The sequence below is a fragment of the Homo sapiens genome, chromosome 13, assembly GCF_000001405.40.
Source record: "Homo sapiens chromosome 13, GRCh38.p14 Primary Assembly".
Classification (NCBI taxonomy): Eukaryota; Metazoa; Chordata; class Mammalia; order Primates; family Hominidae; genus Homo; species Homo sapiens.
In genome coordinates, this window is record NC_000013.11 from 101,824,409 (window position 1) to 101,846,151 (window position 21,743).

Sequence of the window (21,743 nt, forward strand, 5' to 3'; positions counted from 1 at the left end):
CTTGCTCAGCCATAGACTCTGCATTGATTACTTCTTCGTTTTCTCTCCTTTCTTGAGATGATGTCTCTATTTTTGTTTGATTTTTTAAATTACTATGCCATTTTCATCTAAGGTAAATAAATATTTGGTATTAAAACTAAAATGAAGAATTGAGATATGATTTTTGATTAAAAAATATTTGGTCTTAGTCCAGGCTTCCTGGCACACAGCTCCTAAAACCCTTGAAATCTACAAAATAATGTCTTTTTATGTGCATTTGAGATGACTGATGGCTGAAACCTCCTGAATAGTCTTAGGATGGGAGCTGGTTGCCAGAGGAACCGACCACGTGATTTGAGGATTCCAGCTTTCGGCCTCATTCCTAACCTCCAACTGAGGAGAGGGGCTGAAGGTTAAGTTGATCACCAATGATTTTAATCAATCATGCCTACTAAATGAAGCCTCCATGAAAACTTAAAAGGACAAGGTTTGGAGAGCTTCCGGGTTGCTAAATACATCCCCTTGCCAGGAGGGTAGCTGCCCCAGCTCCACAGGGACAGAAGCTCCTGCACTTGGATGCCTTCTGAACCTCACCTTATGTATCTCTTCATTTGGCTTTCATTTGTATCCTTTCATATGTCCTTTGTAATAAATCGGCCATTGGTAGTAAAGCATTTCCCTGAGTTCTGTAAACCACTCTAGCAACTGATGGAACCTGAGGAAGAGGTGGGAAGCCACAATTTACAGCTGGTCGGTCAGCAGTTCCAGAGGCCAGGACTTCCAATTAGCATCTAAAGTGGGAGGGAGTCTTGTGGGACTGAACCCTTAACCTGTGAGATCTGACACTAACTCCAGGCAGATAGTGTCTGAATTGAATTGAATCATAGGACTCCCGTTTGTATCCAATGGAGAGTTGAAGTGTGTGAAGAAAATCACATCTGGCATCAGAAGTAAAGATTCTTGAGAGTATACTAAGAGAAGAAATGGTTTGTTTCTTCCTATTACTCATGGATTTCAACACAATCCTGAGTCTGTAACTTTTACTAAAGTGCTATTCTTGAAATAGGAGGGCTATAAGAAAATACCATTAATTTTATCTCTACATTTTCAATCTTTGCCGATTATTAAGAAATCTAGAATAGACTGTGATACCTCCTATCTTACCAGATAGTATGGTATAATACTCATCACTATAGTTAGCGTTACAGAAAAGTCCACTCAGATATAAAGCATGCATACTGAATCAGATTTTGAGGTGTAAATATCATTAGAATGCATTATGTATCAAATAAAAAATAAAATCTAAATAAATATTTATCCATTATTTACAAAACCTAAAGTAGATGGGGCAGGGGCTATTAAAATACATTGAGATTCAAGTGTCTCAAGCTATTTGTAAGGTGGTCATGCACTTAACTTGAGACAGTTCCACCCAAGACATAAATAACATTAGAAGTATCCCATGAGGATTGTAAGGGGGTTGAATTTGATATTTCCTGATATAAAGTTTTTGAAAATAAGAATCAAATCACATATATCCCTAAAAGATAATACAAGGAGTCCTCTAACATTGGTTTATAAGACCATGTCAATCTGTTATGCAATGTTTTTATCATATATTTGTAAGACACATCCTGTTTACCAAATTATAATTCAGTTTATATACAAATGCATATCTGTGTAACTTTTATCTATCATTTTAAGCCTCTATTGCCTTTGGAAGGGAAGTAGAATAGAAATGATGCATTTCAAAAACGAGAATTTTCTTTCTCACCGTTAAAACATGCAGCCATAAATATATTCATCTTTTAGTCTTTTTTCTACCATTCTCTCAATGTTTCCATATTTAAATACCATTTCACTAACCTCCCCCCGTCCCCGATACACAGAAACACCTAGCAATAAAGCTTTATCCTGAGGCACATTCTACAGAAATTTATGAGTCTGAGGATAATTTGATTCACTTGTCTCAACCTATCACTAAATACCCACATTGACATTAATCAAATTTTGAGTAGACCGATCAGACACAAATAACCAATGAAATAGCTATCCCAGTTAAATCTCAAATTGTATTGGTCAATTAATATTGACTTCAGAGAATTCATCACCTCAAACTTCCCATATCCCAAAGCTCTCAATTTGCTTTTCGTAAAAATGTAGTATGTGGAATGGAAAGTACACAGCACCATCTTAGATTTGTTTCTAATTAAAATAAATAGAAATGTCTTATATTCTTATATAGTAAAATCTATTAATTAGTAGTTGTACCTAAAATGGTGTACATAATTTGATGCCAGATAAATGAGCTGGATAATTGATATCACTAAAAATTTTAAATTACTCTAAATTTAGCTTACATTTAAAAATTAAGTATGGAATTTTTATTTAACAGACGTCTGCAAATATTTTTACAATATGTATAATTCTAATGTATTGAGAATTGAATTGAGCAATGCAGAGTAGTGCTCACTGTGGCTTTTCTGACATGTAGGACTTCAAAATATTTAGCTTATGAAATAACCAATTGCCTCGGTAGTCACAGCAATAACTACTAGATAAAGACACTATAGGTACAGAGGTAACATAATCTTGTGAACATTTATTAAAACAGTAAATCTTACTTTGTAGGAAATAAAAGGATACACTTTTATGGTAATTTACATTCTTAAGAACATGACAGCTTCCAGCTAGAAGAGAAAGAAATTTCTATTTTTGTTAATACATAATATAATCATACATAGAAATTTCATTTTTAAATGCAAACTTTTAGAGAGTTAATGTTTAGACAGTAGATGTCATAATTTTAAAATGGATTTTGTATAGCACTAGAAAATAACCTTTACATTTAAAATGCAGATAGCTTGGTGTAAATAACCTTCTTTATATTTACAATGCACATAGCTTGGTGTTATTGACAAAATAGTTACCAGAGGTAGTATATTGCCAAATATTAACTTGTTAAGTAGTGTAAGGATAATAAAATGTTATATCAACCTCCAACTGTTCCAGTTGTTTGGTATTCCAAAATAAATGTGAGTTTTTATATTTGTATTTTAAAGTATAGTGTATCATCCTTATTTAAAACCATCTAAGATTTATTTTTTATACATTTCTTTATAAATGCTTTTTATACTTATTTACTTCAAGAAAGAGTAAGGCTATTCATAAGATATATATAAAATACCTGTGAAAGTATGTGCTAAAATTCATTACTTCAATTATTTTTGTGGTTTATTATAAAGAAATATTTGACAATGAAAACAACATTTTTTAACCTAGGCTTTTTTTATAACCCAGATTGTCTATGAGATTCAGACTATTCATGGAAACCACAATTATGAAACATTACATTAATAATTACTGCTAACTTAAGTAAAACCAAAGCACAGAGTTTCACTTTAGTTTCATTAATTGAATCATGCCAACATAGATCTTTATTACCATAAGACATCTTCAAGTACTCAGAGTCATTAACCTAAATCATTAGAGGTGAATTTAAGCAAATCGTCTTCAAATCAAATGTGGCTAATTTCTAAAAAAAAAAAAAAAGAAAGAAAAAAGTGTGGTATACTGGTATGCTCACTTTAGGCATGTCAGGATATAAATTTCAAAATCATGTCTGAATTATTATGAAATCTACTACTTTAATCTCCCAAGTCATTCAAATAAATAATTTATACATTACAAATAAAACACACATATATATCTTAAATATGCATACACACACACATATATCACATACAGATATTGTTCTGACTCTTTTAAAAAGAACAACAGCCACGAATAGATGATTTGCAGTTCTTGTAATGCAATAGTTGAACTACCTATTACAAGTCAATCTGCAGACGCCAATATGTCCAAAATGCCAATAAGTTTTGTCTACATGACTAAGTCAAGCAAAGTGCAGGAAAATCATTTCTGTAAGACTGCTCATCGAGAATTGAATATGCACACTGGATCCTGCCTCCAAGTCACTTAAAATGAACATACTCGTCCCTGGTAACTGTTTCTATGACCAAATGATAATCATTAATTGTCAAACAATTGATAGAACTATTTCAAATACTTTAAAAATAAAAGACTTTTTTTTTTTTTTGCAAGATGAGAGAAAGCATGTCTTGTACTGTTTGAGTTTACCTGATAATCAGTGTTATCATGATGAAGTTTCCAAATTGAAGACTGAAAAGGCATCCTGTATTCTTCGCATTCATACAGCACTGAGTTCCACATATGCACACGGCTAGCACTGATGTTTAGATTAAATCAGTAATAACCATGATCTCCCAAATGGATGAGTTTAATCCACAGGTTAATTCAATTCCATACATGCTCTAATTTTATTCCGATTATCCATGCTGGGTTGAGATAAAAATATCTCTTGCTTTAAAAAAGAAGGGACATGTATTTTTAAAAGTCTACTGATGTGCTGTGGTTGCATTTATTTTTATATATGTACTCAGGAATGGAAGGCAAAGAGAACTAGTTCCACCGTAGTTCCCTCACACCTTTCCTGTCTTCTCACTAGAAACTCATTACCAATATCATACTAGGTGTTAGAGACTGCTGATAGCAAACAAAGTAAAGGTCAGGGAAATTCATTTGTGGTTTCTGCCCCTCGGGGTCTGTAACTGCTGTGTTTCTGGTGTTTCCAAATTCAAGTTTTTGCTATTTATCCCTGGGCTGGGAGATAGATCTAATTGCAGGTAAGCACTGACATCCAGGAATAAAGAAAAAGCAAAGTCAAGGAATAATATTATTCTCATCCAAAAGTCTTTACAGAAAGCATACATAAAGTTGGGAAAGAAACCAGCTAGCTCACAGCTATTCTGGTTATTAGACATCCCTGTGGAAGAAGCACCTTTAAAGATGCAGATGTCAAAGAGCAGGGTAATATTAGCTTTGAATCTGTGTGAAATCAGTTCTGTGCAGTATCATAATGTGTTATTACAGGTTTCTCCTGAGTTTAATTTACAAAGAAGAAGCAACCATAATAAGAGAATAAAAATTGTATAAATCACAAACATTGAAAGCCTGAAAACAGGAGTTTTAATAGTGGTTAAAAAGTAGTGAATTATACTGCTTTTGTACCACCTAAGAATACACTAGCCAGTCAGCATTGCCAATCAGTCTTTAAAGTGTTCACTCTTCAGCTATTCCGGAGGTATTGAGAACAAATAAGAATTTACCCTATTTAAAACCCATTTCCAGCATCGTCATCATAAAAAAAAAATGTGGTTCATTAGGAAAACTGATGACCCAGGGCTAAAGTAAATACCAGGATCTGCCAGAGTTGGAAGAATTTCAGAAATAACTGCCTTGGTTGAATGACCCCATCAGGGACTCACAGTAGACTCTTGATTCACTAGGGGTTAAGATTTCAAAACTCTATTAGCATTCCAGTAATTTTCACAGTGAGGCAAACTTTTCAGCCCACTATTCTGTTTAGTCCTCATAGCAAATATATGAGGTGGGCTCTTCACCTCCATTTTTCAGGTTCTGAAAATGAGGCTCACAATTTTTAAGTGATGTTTCTGGGTATTATGACTTAGAATCATAGGCTTCAAAACCTTTGTCCTTTTCATTGTGGCACAGGCACTGGGTGAGAATAGGGATGGCCATTATTCCCACCACTTACTCCCTGGGAGACCTTAGGCAGGCGACTGAATCTCCTGAAGTATTAGTTATCTTGCATGTAAAATGTATGTAACAGGAACCATCCCTGCCTACTGAATAGAGTTGCAGTGCTTTAAATGAAACAGTGGCTGCAGCAGAAACCTGGGAAAGCATACTTGTAGCTCTAGAGAAGTCTAGTAGCAACCATTTGATTTTTTTCTCCACGTCATCATCATCATCTTGGAAGAGGCTCTTACAGTTATCCTGGGCCTGGGAGAGGAGGCAGTGATAATAGAGAAATTGTTGTGATGAAGGATAGAAAGAAGGAAAAGCACAGAGTTTATGTCAGCAGCACCAGATGTTCTATCATTTGCCAAGTGCCCTGGGAAGTACAGGTCCCTGGCAGGCTGGAATTTTACAGCTGCAGCAAATGTTTCCAGTATGAGACAAGAAGGACTAAATTCAGGAAATAAATTTAGTTACCGGTTGTACATGGGCTGAGATGCAAATTAACGTGAGGTTGAGAACATTACCTCAAGAGGCGAATTTCGTGTATTTGAACTCTGCTTCTACCACCTTCTAGCCCTTTGATCCTAAGTAAGTCACTTTCTCTCTCTGTGACTCATTTTCCTAATTTTTAGGAAATTTCTAAATTTTCAAATTTTTCCTATATTAACTCCTGTTAGCATTGTAACATAAGCTTAGGGGCCTAAAGCAACACAATTTCATCTTACAGTTTTGCAGATGAGAAGTCTATCAAGGGTCTCACTGGCTAAAATCAAGGTGTTGGCAGACTTATGTTCCATTTTGGTGGCTCTAGGGAGAGAATCTACCTTTTCACCTTTCCAGCTCTAGAGGCTGCCTGCATTCCTTGGCTTGTGGCTCCTCTCTTCATCTCTAAAGCCAGAAATGGCAGCCAAATACCATTTCATCACTCCGATCCTCTTCTGCTTCTCTCTTCTACTTTTAAGTAATCTTGTGATTATATCTGGTCCACCTGCATAATTCAGGCTAATCTCATCTCAAGGTCGTTAATTTAATTACATATGCTGTATCTCTTTTGCCATGTAAGGTAACAGTAATAGGGTACATTTTGCCTTTCCAATGTGAACATTTTGGTGGGAGACATTATTTTGCCTACCCTACCATCCCATATGATTTTTTGAGAATGAAATGAAACATGTCAGGCACTTAGAAAAGTACCAGACGTCTAATAAGTATTACATATGTTAGTTACTATTTATTTATTTATTTATTTATTTATTTATTTATTTATTTACGTTGGCCAGGCTGGTCTTGCACTCCTGGCCTCAAACAATCCTCCCACCTTGGCCTCCCAAAGTGCTGAAATTATAGGCATGAGCCACCATACCCAACCTGTTAGTTACTATTGAATTTTCATCAGAGAGTTATAGGATATTCCATTCAATTTCATCTTCTATCATACGCTTCATGAATATTTCCTGTTGTGGAAAACCCAGGCACTAGCAGTAACTCTGGATTCAAAAACACTGCAACATACATTCAGGAAGATTCTGTAGCTCTGAGACCGAATTGCAATCCTAGACCATTGGAAAGTGAATTTCCCCAGGAGAGACAAAATGGCTTTGTTGTCTCAAGAATTTTCTAAATTTGAGAATTCATTATTCACTCATTTAGTAAGCATTTACTTTTCTACTGTACCAGACTCTGCATAGATCTTTGCCTCAATTCACCTGTCAATGAGCTAGAAAGTTGATAGATCAATTCCTGGCTTAAAATAAGACCAATTATCAATGCATTCTGCTGTCAAGCTCAAATAGGCACAACTGTTCTGTGCTAGAGTAAAATCTAAGGTTGCAGAGAAACAGAGAGCATGTCAGTGCTGATGGAGAAGGATTGGTAGAAATAAGCTGCCAATATTGGGCGTGATAGTGTGTGATTGGGATTTAAAGTAGAATGAATAATGGCCACCAAATATATCAGGTCTTAATCCCTGGAACCAGTAAAGATTACGTTATTAGAAAAAAAAGTTTTGCAGATACAATTAAGTTAAGGATCTTGGCATTGGGAGATTATCCTTTATCATCTGGGTAAAGATTAAGTTCCATCACATATGTCTCCTCGTAAGAAAGGCAGAGGGAGATCCGATATACGCAGAAGAGAAGGCACTGTGACCACAGAGGCAGAGATTGAGTGATGTGTCCACAGGCCAAGGGATGCTGGAAACCACCGGAAACCAGGAAAGGAAAGGAAGAGATTATTCTCTAAGTGCTCCAGAGAGAGCACGGCCCAGCTAGCAGCTTGATTTGAACAGACTGAAACTGATCTCTGACCTCTGGCCTGGAGAAGCATCAATGTGTGAGCATCAGTGTCTGCTGTTTTAAGCCATGAATTTTGTGGTAATTGGTTACCGCAGCCACAGGAAACTCACACTGGAAGTATTGAAAAGGTGGGGAACTCAGATATTTAAAGGGAAGGAACGTCATTAAATCTAGGAAGAAGAAGCTTGAGTTGGTCACTTCTGAAGAAATTGTAGAGATCAGCTGGACTTGATAGAGGAGGAGACAAGACACGATGACCTGCAGCATGGTTGGCATTTTCAACCCCAAGAATTGAGAGAACCCAAGAACGGAGTGGAAGTAAAAGCAAGTAGAATGAAGGTAGCAGCTGAGACTGAAATTATCCCTCCCTACCCCGCTTTCATGTACCCTGGCAGTGGGACCACTGCTCCATGATAATGATATTGAAGAGTGAAAAGGACATGAACTTTTAAATGAAGAGTAATGAGATAGAAAGACATAAGAATTCTCGAGAAAGGTTTTAGGAGTAGTGTGGGATGAGTTTATATCACAAAATTAAGATAAAAAGAAGCAATTGAGTTATTCATGAAAGAGTTTGGAATCTATATGTTTAAAAAGAACTACCAGGGTTGCCATTCTTCTGTGGTTTTCTCACAAATTCTAGTCAATTGTCTGTAAATGAATTTACTTTTGTTTGCCGGATCTCTTTGACATCACACCAGAAAGAAACCACACACGAGGAAAAGCAGTAGTTCACCGCCCTGGAATCAGAGGTCTAGCATGGGTAGCCCAGGGCTGAGAAGGTTTCCACTTTTTCCTATCACTCATGTCAGGCCAGGGTGGGTAGGAGGTAGGGTCTCTCCATGCAGTGCATACCCCATTCTGCACCTTTCTAAACAGGTATGGCATTAAGAGCTTATTTGCTTTTAAAGGATCAGTGTAGCCATGAGTCTGAACTATTCTGATACACAAATACTTTTCAGAATGGGAAGTTTCTGTCTGATAAATGCCTCTGAAAAGTCAGATTTATCAGCCTCATTGCTCTTTTGTATGTGCTTTTGAGCTTGTGAAGGAAAAGGAGTGGATTCTCAGTTAAGACATATTTTCAACAGCGTTGACTGAATAGTTGTTATGGGCATAAACTATTCAATGCTTGGGGATACGGAGTTGAGGAAATAGGGTTCTTGTTCTTCAGACAAAAAAATAAGGTCTACAAGTTTAATTTATAACTAGACAATGAGAAGACAATCCCTTTCAAGTTGTGCAAAGACACAAGATGCCTACATTTTTTAAAGGACTATATAGAAATACTGCTCTGTGTGTATATACATATATACAGACAGATAGGTGTGTGTATACATATGCATATGTGTGTATATATGTATGTACATACATATATAGAAATCATAAAGACTATTTGCTTGATGTTGGCTAGTTTGCACACAGTTCAAATTTGCAAGTAATTCTTCATCCCCACTGGTTTCATTGCTATTCAGCATCTTGCCAATTTCCATTAAAATTCAAAGCCTGTCGTTGTGTCTTGCTGTTTAATTGTAGACTTGGGGCAACTAAACTTACGTTGAATGCTGAAGTTAGCAAACCTCCTAAGCTGATGAATGCACTTTGTTATATCCTGACACAAATATCTGAAATGTAATGAAACATTCTACACAAACAAGATCATAATCCTAATTCATATCTAGTGCTATTCACAAGAGAACACCATAGCTGCTTCATTTCTGAAACGAATAATATCATATTCCTCTAGTGATCAAGCAATCACCTCCAAGTGAGACTACAATAGAGACTGAAAAAATGTGAAACACTGTAGAACTTGAACTGAAATGTCAAAGTGCTCCTAGTAGATTTTGCACTTTAGGTAGTACATCTTTATTTGATGCATTCTCTCTGATTTCACAGGATTCATTTGCTCTATTTTGCTATGGCCTGTTATTAGACCATAGTGTTGATCTCTGAGTACTTTGCACATTTGCATCAAAACATTGTTGTAATCTAAGCACTTGAGCACATGGGTACCTTGACTATGTCTCATTTCACAAACGAAATGACACATTCCAAATCAAACCATCAGCAAAGGGATGGCAAATATGTGGTGGTCCATAGCTACAGAGAGTCACTACCTGAGAAAAAGATACAAGCTTTTACTTAATTCAGCAGTTTCATTAAATTCAGTCAAAAGATTCTTCCAAACACCCACTTATATGTGCTAAGTGGCAGGTAGTATGTGTTATTATTTTCAACAGGAAATAAGAAGGCTGAGTATCATTCTAAAACAGGATTTCAAAGGGAGACCTGGAAAAAGAACTGAATACATTTAAATCTCCATTCTCAACAGGACAATCATTTGGGACATAATTCTTCCTTTCCGTTACAGAACAATCCAGAAAAAAAGGTTGGGAAACAGATTGGTGAAGGTACTTAGTCACTCAAAACCTCCTAGATGTCAATGGTGATAAACAACAAATAAATGTATATGAATGAGAGTTCATATTTAACCAGCACAAGAGTTATAAATGAGGAATACAGTGTTAGGGTCCTAAGTATTCTGGTTAAGATGTTCTGGTACCATAAGTTTCTTACTAATCTTAACCAAGTCAAAGCAAATTCTGTAAATATTACTTATATTTACAGGCCACACATGGACTAGACATAACATATTTGTTGTTGGTTCACAGGGAGAAACAGAGGTTAACTATGATGGCCTATGGATATCTGGAAATAAGAGAAAGAATTTGTAAATCATGACAAAGGATAGCACTGCATTTAAAATCATTTATGATAAATCTACATTCAACTTCTCTTATTATTTCAAAACAAGGTTTCAAATTTACTCTTTAGATTGATACATTGGAGTTGGAAATAACCTTTGAAGATAAAGTAATAGTGCTGCTTCTGCACAGCCTTTCAAGGTTGTGTATGTGGGTGTGTGTGTGAGAGAGAGACTGAAATAGAGAGAGAGAGAGGGAAAGAGAGAGATTGATTTATATTTCCCTTTTTCAATATCCAATTTCTCACAAACTTGATGAAACTGGACAGTTGCACATTTTTTCAATTGCTAATTTTTGCCTACCTCAAGGACAAAAATCAAGTTATCTTATTGTTGTTTTAGTTTTCATTTCCCTGAATATGTTTATATGCCGTTTGCAGTGTCTTGCTCTTATATTTTTCCAATTTTATTGGTCGACTATATCTTGTTATTGCCAATATAGCAGGGTAATCGATATGACTTTTTTTGATATGATTTTAGCTGTAGCCGAATATCAAGGGTAAAATAGGCACAGCGTGGTCCCAAGTCCTAACGTGCAGTGCTAACCCCCCTAAACAGGACATGTGGAGGGTCTGAGAAACCAGCTCTGCTCAAATACACAATAAGCTCTGTGAGTAAAGTGGAGACACTGGCAAGATGGAGGTCTCTGGAGAGAATGGTTAGGGCACTGTGCTTGCGGCTACCCACTCCTGCCATCATGGGAATAAGTGGATGTGCCTCCCTTACTTTAAAGTCAAGCAGGAAACAAGATTTCAAGAAAACTTGAGAAAGCTTAAGATATGTTCCTGGATATTAAACAGCCACAGCAATGGGGTCTGACTGTTGCTGGAAGAAATCTAAAGGCTACAGGCTGCCTGGAAGTACAATGCAAAAGAGAGAGAGGGCTGTGTTGGGAGCCAGTTGTACTTTTAAAAATGGGGGGTTTGCATAGACCAGATGCAGAATCCATAATAGTGATAAGCAGCAGAATAGTGACCTGGTGCAGTGATATGTTTCTAAAACAGGCAGTAATTACTCTAATCTGAGGTGACTGACAGTAAGTCAGAACATGACTGTGGTATTAGCACTTTGCTTGTAAAAGACTGAGCAATTTGAAGTCTCCAGTGAGGGAACTGGAGAGAACAAGAGAACAAGCTGGTAAATGTGCATCTGCCAAGAACAAAAGGCTCTTATGACTGCTCTAAGACAAATAAGATTCTACCTGACTGTATGCTCTCATTTTCCTCCCTCCAAAATAGCAACTAGTTATTACAGGTTTCTCAGCAATAACTAGATAGGCCCAAATTAGATAAATAAAGATGTTTTAGTTGCAATAAGAATTTGGAATTTAGTGCTATACTGGACCAGAATTTTAAATGTCAGGAAGTTTTTGTGACTGAACAAGCACAAAAAGTGAGGACCTACCTGAGGTAACAACCGAAGGAGTCAGTAATTAGTTTGTAGAGCCAACTGGAAGTGGAGTAGAAGAAGAATAATAAGGCTGATTTATAAATTCATCCTCGTATATCTAACTTGTTTGGCAAACTAAATTATAAAAAATACATATTTTGCACGTATTTATCTTGTATTCATATACCTTATTAGTTCCTAGTTATTGTTAAGGATTTGATCTTTTCCAAGTGTATGACAGTATCATATACAATTAAAACTTTAATTTCTAGTATTTATGATTATTTTATTTTATTGTCCTATTGCATTAAGTAGAACCAGCAAGAGATTTTTGAGAGCTGGCAGAAGAGAAATCATGCCTAATTAGTTCACCATTTTGATGCCACTGGAATTTGCATTTTATAGTTAATGTAATATGTAATGATGATTTTTGTATAAATAGTTCATGTTTATAGAGCTCATATTTCAATTCACCCACAATTTTTTAATTAGAATTGATAGCTGAAGTTTATTAGACTTTCTTTTAGCATCTATGAATATAATGAGAGGAACTTTCTCCTTCATGTTTTTAGTATAATGTTGGGCTAAACTACGTGAAGAATAAATCCTACTTAGGCATGTCGTGTTCATTATCTAATGAAACACTGGAGTTAGTTGCTAATATTTTTATTTTGAATTTTTCAAGTGTGACTGAGCTGGTACTATATGTGTGTGTGTGTGTATGTGTGTTTGTGTGTGTGTATTTGTGTGCCATCTTGGTCATGTTTTGTTAGAATGGCTATCTACATTTTAATATTCTCTAGTTATTTTCTCATTATCTGTCCGATTTGCCACTTCTGGCCTAACTAAAAAAATGTAGGTGTATCTGAGTTTAAATGTGAGCTCTGCTATGCCAGTTATTACTTGTGTGAACTCTAGGGAATTGCTACCTTAAGTCTCAGACTCTTGAAAAGATAAGGTTTGTTGTGAGAATAAAATGAGAGAATGTGTGGAAAACCTTACAATCAAGCTTGTTGCGTAATGTGCTGAATAAATGATGGCTATCATCACAAATGCCCTTAGGGCATTTGTATATGAAACGTATATCTAACAACAATGATGTTTTAAAGGCTTTTATATTGATCTTTGAGAAATTCTTCTTTTAAGAAAGACAACTTTATAAACTCTGAGGTCCCTCAACCTATATACCTGGGGCCATGGCTAACAAACTCCTAAGTCAAACTTCCTTAAAATAATCTAACGATAATCACTTTCACAATTTTCAATTTATCCTGAAATATATTCTGATTGTCCTTGCGATGGTTAATATTGTGTCAACTTGATTGGATTGAAGGATGCAAAGTAGTGCTCCTGGGTGTGTCTGTGAGGGTGTTGCCAAAAGAGATTAACATTTGAGTCAGTGGACTGGGAATGCAGACCCACCCTCAATCTGGGTGGGCACTATCTAATCAGTGGCCAGTGCAGCCAGAATAAAAGCAGGCAGAAGAACGTGGAGAGACTAGACTGGCTTAGTCTTCCGGCCTGTGTCCTTCTCCCATGGTGCTGGATGCTTCCTGCCCTAGAATATCGGACTCCAAGTTCTTCAGCTTTGGGATTCGGACTGGCTTCCTTGCTCCTCAGCTTGCAGAAGGCCTATTGTGGGACCTCACCTTGTGATCATATGAGTCAATATTGCTTAATATTTCTAAACTCCCCTTTATGTATACACCTGTCCTATTAGTTTTATCCCTCTAGAGAACCTTGACATATACAGTCCTCAATAGGGACTTCTTCTTAACCCTGTTCATATATATATATTTTTAAAAAGTCTCATCTGTGACCCTGCAACTTCCTGCAGCCCTCGGTTTCGTTCTGTGATGTCCTGTTATTCCCCTAAGAGGTGACATGGAGACAGCGGGCTCCCCTGTGATTCCCAGCCACTCTTTGGGATGCTTGGCTCCATCCTTGACAAAGATTTTGCTCCAGGCACAGTGATTCATCCTAAAGCCAAAATATGCATGGGAGTCACTATCCAAATATTAAAATTTATATTTGAAAGAGAATTGCTGGTAGAAATGAGTGCTTATGCAAGGAATTTTGGTCACTTGGTAATCACATAACCTTCATAAGAACTCTTCTAAAGTAAATGTACTTTTTACCCTCCTGTTCTTATAAGGATCTAACATAAATAAGCAAGAAGTTCTGGCACTGTGTCAAGTAGACCGAAAACAAAATCCTCATGTAAATAAACATTGCTGTAATATGACCTTGAACTAGGCAGCTAACTCAGGAAAAAACAAAGGTTCTTCAAGAGAAGCAACTAATGCAAATAAGTTATACCTAATTAAAACTCCTAAATAATGAAAAAGTTGATAAACAATTTGTGCCAAGCAAAAATTCCAATGGACAGCAGTAATCAATGAGGCAGAAGCTTGTATTTTCCACTTCTTTTCAGACACGTTTTTGTCTGCTTTTAGAGCTATAAGTAGAGGAAGCCAGGGTATCTCTTACAAATATCAAGCGAGGTTTCAAAATTATTGACACAGATGCCCAGACCCTTTCCCAAACCATTATATTAGATTCATAGGCATCAATATAATTTAAAAGTCACCCAAGGTGTAGTCAAGGCTGAACTCTCCTTCTTTAAATTAACATGAAAGATGTGATAATACAAATGGTGTGTCTCTACTAATTTCTAGAACCTAATAATTTTAACACCCATTTCACCGCACTGTTCCATGTCTGATGAAACATGCAATTTTAATATACTCTATTCAAAACCTTTTATTAATTTTAAGTTGAATGCAAAGTTAGGGTCTCTTTGATTCCTTCTAGCAATCATGGCCCATGTGAAGTCTAATTTATAGACATACAAATGTGATCCTGAGAAAAGTCTTGGATTTTAACTTTAAGGAAAAATAGAATTTAGTACTTGAAGGCGACATTTAGAAATAGAAAGACAGATTGGGTTTGGGCCAATTATGACTCTCATGAAAAAGTAATACCAGTGCTCCTGGCTTAATACAGGCCACAGAAAACTGGAAGGGAGGTTTAGGATAGCCTCAGAAAACATATATATGTATTTTTTGATTTGTAATTTTTGTGGGTAAATAGTAGATGTATATATTTATGGAGTACAGGAGATGTTTTGATACAGGCATGCAATGCATTATAACCACATCATGGAAAATGAGGTATCGTAATTCAAATACAGAGTTTCCTTATTGATTATGTCTATGGTGTTTTCCCAACTGCTCTTTTTGTTGCTGAAATTGAATTATAGTTAATGGAATATTAAAGAAAGCCATAGGTTAACGGTACATCATTTTGACGATCATCACATCATGTGTACAGACTCAAAATGAAGAAAATGTAATGTATGCTCTATGCTTTGAAAACCAAATTAGAAGTCTATCTTCACTCCAAGGATCTTTCTGCCTGCAGAAATAAGGCTAGAACCTACTCTCTGAGCTAGGAGAACCGAGCTAGGAGAAAATAAAATCAATTTCACTCGGGAAGAATGGCTGATCTGTTTTTGTGTCCCTTTAACTCCAGCAGTTTAATAAATACTTGTGATTTAATGCCCAATGAAGATATTATTGAAGGAAAACCAAGCCTCAATCTCTTCTTGGCAAATGAGAAATAACTACTTGGAAATGTAAATACCAGTTCAATTAATTCCAATGTAAAGTGGACACCTGATGATATTTCAAATATGCTGTTATAAAGAAAATACTGAGTATGTTTATTTTAAAAGGATTCTAAATTTGTTTTAAATTATAAACTAGTTTTCAGTTATTCTGCCCTATTCTTCTATGAAATTCACAGAAATTATTGTGGCCATTTTATATTTGTTATTTCCCCCCATTTAAAATACGTTATGAAAAACCAATCCCTAATTTCTCATAGCTTATTTTATTATTTGAAGACAACTTTTTCTTATTTCTCAGTTACTTAAAACAGATATATTTAGTGTCTGTTATTTTATTTCCCTCAGTGATGCATATACAATAACTCTTATTCACTAATATAATTATTAATATATAATTTATAGAAATTTGACTGGCTCTATTATATAACTTTGATAGCTACAAGACTCATATTTATAAATTGATAGTTAAAAGGTATTCAGAAGAATGGTATTGAAATAATACTGTAAGAAATCATGGATTGAAGTCAAAGGCATTGCTACCTACATTTAAATCATTCATGCAGTGTTGTAAATGTACTATTTTGTGCATGTATATCAACCAAATTGTTGCAACACATAGGTCAGCATGCACACATAACAGAGCCCTTTCCCCTAAAATGGCATGCTTTTTTCTTATCATAATCTTAACTATTCAAACCTATTTATATTTAGAGAAAATCAAGAATATGTGTTTTTACAATGGATAATAAATAGTCTAACTGAGTTCAGTAGTTTTAAACATTTTATGTCTACATAAACTGGTACAAAGATGCCATTATCGGGGCAATTATCCTCTAGGTCTCCTTGTAATGAGGAGTTTACGCTGTCAAGTGTGGGAAATTTACAATCTCAAGTGTGGAGCTTAAGTGGAAAAGTCCTCCTTGGTAAATATAATGGATTAATTATGTTTTCCTGTAAGGAACCTATGAAATCAGGGAAGTCCAAGTTTGGTGTCCCCTTGGTATTTGGGATGAAAATTAATACTTCTTTCAATGGTAGTAGTTCTCCTTTGATTTAAAAAAAACTTAAGTGGCATATACAATAAGGAGATAAAAATTAAAAAGCTATTTAAATTCCTTACTTTATTATTTTTTTCTCATTGCATTATGTTATCCACCCCGAATACACTGTAAACATGGCATAAGGGGATAGTGGTTTACCAGGAAATCACCCAACTGGCCACCGATTGAACTGAAAAAAGTAATCTCTATATACTCTTATACTGGGTTCCAGGTCAAAGATCTGTGCTGATTTTTTTTCCAGTATCTAAACTGCTTAGCAAGTCAAAGAAACTTTGAGTTAGCCTAAGTTAAATTGTAGCAATAATAGACATTTTCCCAAAATAATTTACTATTAAGCATACATATTATTTACTACTGAGCATACATAATGCAAAATCCCATTATAGTAAACTCAAACAAATTCAGTCTCATATCTCAGAAGTCATAAAACCTAAGACTAGCAAGAAAAGTGTTCAGAGGTAGAAAGCAGTTGCCAGCATTGATTGAACATCGGAATGGTAACAGTCACTAGGAAATCAATGCTTGACCTTATAGTAGTTGCTTGGTGGCCAGGTTCCTAGGACTCGTCTTTCTGTAGGACACACAAACTGTCTTGTTGTCAGTGTTCTCTTTGAATCATGCCTCAGATTTTCTGCTGGCCCAGTGTTTTGATCATCTGTGTCCCTGAATTACAAATGCAAGACTTTCTGCTTCTTTCAGCATTCCTCACCCCTCCCACCTTTTCTATAGCAGTCCCCAGGAGCTCACCTTTTCTGCACGTGAAAAGAATACTCACTCAGTATAATCATTTATGTGAACCACCTAATTACCCTGCAGGATATGACTCATTTGCATATAATTAAATGTATTCAGTTTTAAAATATTTTAAATTTTCTTTGGCAACGTTATGATCTATTCATGGTCACTGAGCTATAGAATTTATTGCTCATTTGGTGTGGTTTTAGGCTTATAGCTAATCTTTGCTGAAGTATTTTAGATACAGGTAATAGAAAAAAAGCAATTAAGCTCCATATGGTGCCAAATTTCTTTTGTCCTTTTTCCAGTATTCTTCTCTGCCCTCAGAAAACAGGCGTCAGAGGTTGCTATCACATCCTCATTTCATCTTTGTGCCTCTTCTCTTTTCCTCTGCTCTCTTTACCTTAATAACCCATCTAGGACTTTCCTCCCTTCAGCACATTAGCAGTCCTTTTTATAAGGTCAAGCTTCACTTGTCGGTGTTATTACCTGTACAATATTAGTTTTACAAATGGCAAATGGAAAAATAAAGATCCTCTTCAACACAGAAGCCCACAAGGGCAGGAGTGCTTATGGCTTCAACAGGTCAAATTCAGACCCAGAAAAGGAAGAGGATTGGTGAATACATGTGAGGACTATGTTCAGGAAGCCAAAGGGTATGTGCTACTGGACGCCTGGGTAGGAATGTTCAAACTACTCTGAGAAAACAAAAGGACTGTAGAAAGAGTCTTATTTTAGTGCAAATAGTAATAGTAACAGGAAAGAAGACAGTTGAGGAGAGGGAGAGAACAGACGTGAGGCCAGCAGATCTGACCAGCATGACTCGGAGAGCAAGGAGCATCACTAAGCATGTTTCATCATGGTTTTAGTCTTTTGCCTGAAGCATTGTTTGTTTCTATTACATCATGCATGCCAATCCCCAAATTACTTACAAAAATTACTTCAAATATCACTATAACTAGGGTGACTATATAATTTATCCTCCAAGCTGGGACACCTTTGAGGATAAAAGAGGGTGCTATTAATATTTACACTGGAACAACTTGTGTGAAGCAGAAGTGTCCTGGCCAAACTCGGACAAACGATCATCCTAACGACTGTTCGTCTATACGGAAACATACACACGATTGAGGCTTTCAACAACAAATATGTATTAAGCACCTGTAGTGTGGCTGGGTGTATAATACAGTTGCATCTCTAATTAGGGGTGACCGAGTTCTAAAATTAGCAAGCAAGGCAGAAGTTAAATGTATCAAAAGTATTCTTGAGCACTTCTTAAACCTATGAATTTTTTGAAGATTAATGTATCATTTTAACACAGGTAACAGATCTAGTTTTTCCTCTAGCATTAAACCAATCAACCCCTGCCCCTACCTCACTGTATTTCAGAAGAAGTAGGAGACATGCATTTAGGGGGCGATGTGTATTACAATTTCATATTGCTACATCTACTGTACAGCAAAGTGTAGTCACTGTGTAGAGATGCTTATAGCATAAGGGATCCACAGAGCTGAGTCTGACAGTGGGGGGCAGGCCAATGCCTCCCATTGATGCTCACTCTGGGCACATGCTCAGATGTTCTGCCACCATTTATTCGTAAGTATTTCAAGTCCATATGTATGGTTGACTTTGAGTAACTTATGCATAATATGATGCTACTTTCAAAATTGAAATATATACTTAACTTGAGTAGTTAACTCTAGTTATAGGAAAAAGATGGCAACATAAACAAATCCTTATGATATCATAAGGAACACAAGGATTACGTAACTAGATATAGGGACTAGGAAGAAATAATAACTACATCTGCTTCAGGGGGATCAGTGAACGTGGACTTTCTCCTAATCTATGGTCAATGAATAGAAATTTTCCTGACAGTGAATCCATGAATTGTGGCTTGGGGAGACAGGGAGGTGAGCATATTGAAAGACAGTGAAATGCATGTAAAGAGAGCTCTGTCAAACTCTGTGGGATTTACAGTAAGAACATGAGACCTACAAATAGAACAAATACTGTTAGTTATCTATATCTTTCATTTTTAAATTGTTGTGAGAAAGAAAGAACCCTAATAGGAGACCTAAAATTAATCCATAGTGTCATATTGTAAAGACCTTCTGTGGACAAGATAGAAAGTGATTATTTAAATGAAATGTGTTAAAGGACAGAGTTAGTTTCAAAGATATAAGCCCTTTCAACTACAAAAAGCCTTTTTGTGTGTGTGTCTTCTATTTATTGCCACAAATATCAGGACACAAACTGAAGCCTCTAAAATGCAACAGTCTTAAAATCATGAAAAATACATCTTTGTATTGCTAACAATTGGGGGATTTACTAAAACCAGGAAGACCAGATACATGGAAAAGTAGTATAATCAGTGATTTTTGAGATTATACTACTTATACAGAGATCACTGTTTGAAAACATGTTTGTTGCACTCTCAACCTCACAAGACACCATTCCTTGAAACTGACTTCAAGACTGTGCATAAGAGCATCACCTTCCATAGAAATCTTTCAGCTTTGAAGCCCTGGCTAATGAAGAACATATATTTAAAGCCCGTTTATCATAATAACCATATAATTACAGAATTTAGCATTTTATTTAACCATATTTAATTCTATTTTACAGCTCTCTTACAGTATGGCTGAGCTTCTTTTTATTTTCTTTTTACCCTCTCATCCCTTGCAGAACAGAACCACCGATTTTATAATATATGATACTCTGGACTTAGCATGGGCAGTGCACTTTTCCCATTTTATATTTCCCAAATATTCAGTGATAAAATATAATCATTACATACATAGTGTACATTTCCATTGACGTTCAGGAAAAATATAATCTCCCTATATCACATACAGCTATTTGCTTAGGAAAAATTTCTGTGGGGGTACCTGTGTGTGCTTGAACACGCATACCTTGGCAAATCCAAAACATTTAACTAGGAGCAAAGAGTTATGGTGCAGAGTCTAGAAGACTACACTGCAAATGCCAGCAACTAACACTCCCGTGTCCCCTGACATCGTAGGAATTTACAGGGACGGGTTTAAGTCCAGAAAATGTTTCATTTCAGCTGACTGTCTCTGGTACTTGGTAGAATAATAATAAATTCCCAAGATCTGTTTTAGATGTGAACTCTCAGCCTGGAAGGACTTGTCCTACAAGATACAAATCACCATGCCATGCCCTTGTTAGTACTTTGCAAACGTCAGGTAATGTCAGCAACTCAGAAAATAGACAATAATACAGTACGCCTTCATCGGTGAAGCAAAATTTCCTGAAAAATTAAATTTTAGGTGATATTTAGAAATTTGCTGTTTTTCAAAAATTGTCACAACAGCTATCACAGTCTACGTTTGCATGTCGAAGCATTTCTAATCCTAGACCATAAATGTTTTGCTTAAAAACTCTTTATGTGTGCAGACCTTGCAAAACAACAAAAAACAGTTCTGATCTGATATGAAAACTCGGGGAGCAATTCCTCTAATTATAACAGCTGGGTAGGGAGAATTTCTGCTGGCATGGAAAAGAACAGACTTCTAATATGGCCATTTACAAAGGCAAATGTAAAGGTGAATGATTAACTTGAAAATACCCAATGGCAGAAACTGATTATGACTTGGGACTATTGGTGAAAGCACAACATGGAGACAGGAAAACACAGAGATATGACAGTGAAGGCATGCTGAGAGAGACAGAAACAATAAAATGAAGTATGAGACAGAAAGAGAAGGTGACTAGATAAAAGGGTAGTCAGGAGATAATCTTAGACTTGTAAACAAATGCTTATAAGCAAATAAAGAATGGCACCAGAGGCGTAAATGAGGTACTGTAACATGCTAGGAGTGTTTCAAGAACAGGAAAAGTCATTCTTTGTGTTGAGATGCAGTGGGATTAGGGGCAGTGGGACTGGAATGAATGGCTTCATAGATTATGTTGACAGAAAGCTTTGAATTCCAGAGAAAAGAGTCATGACTTTCCTTTGCAGGGGGTAGGTGGTGGCAGGGCTCAGTGCATATAACTATAGTCATATGTATAGTGAACATATCTGGTCGAAGTGCCAATAATCTGGCCAACATGCAACTATATATTTCCAATATTTTGCCACATTGTTCACTCAAAGTCCAGTGGACAGTTACTTTCATAGAAATTGAGTCTAACGTATTTGCCAAATGTATACAATTTATTAATAGTGCTACCATGATACCTAACATTGTAGTTTAAGTTTTAAAACTAGTAATAATTAGTGGAGGCTTCAGATAAAG

General features: G+C 36.0%; 1 protein-coding gene across 22 annotated transcripts in view; it reads right to left on the reverse strand.

The window, feature by feature from the left end:
• The window catches only part of FGF14 (fibroblast growth factor 14), a 691,640-nt gene that overhangs the window by 113,605 nt on the left and 556,292 nt on the right, over positions 1–21,743 (reverse strand). The window contains exon 4 of one of the 22 annotated variants that reach the window (NM_001321937.2): positions 3,314–3,514. The exons of the other annotated variants lie outside the window; for them this stretch is intronic. Coding sequence (NP_001308866.1) covers positions 3,458–3,514 — 57 coding nt within the window. The 3' untranslated portion in view covers positions 3,314–3,457. Of the gene's footprint in view, positions 1–3,313; positions 3,515–21,743 lie in introns of those variants that run through there. 22 annotated transcript variants of the gene reach the window in all.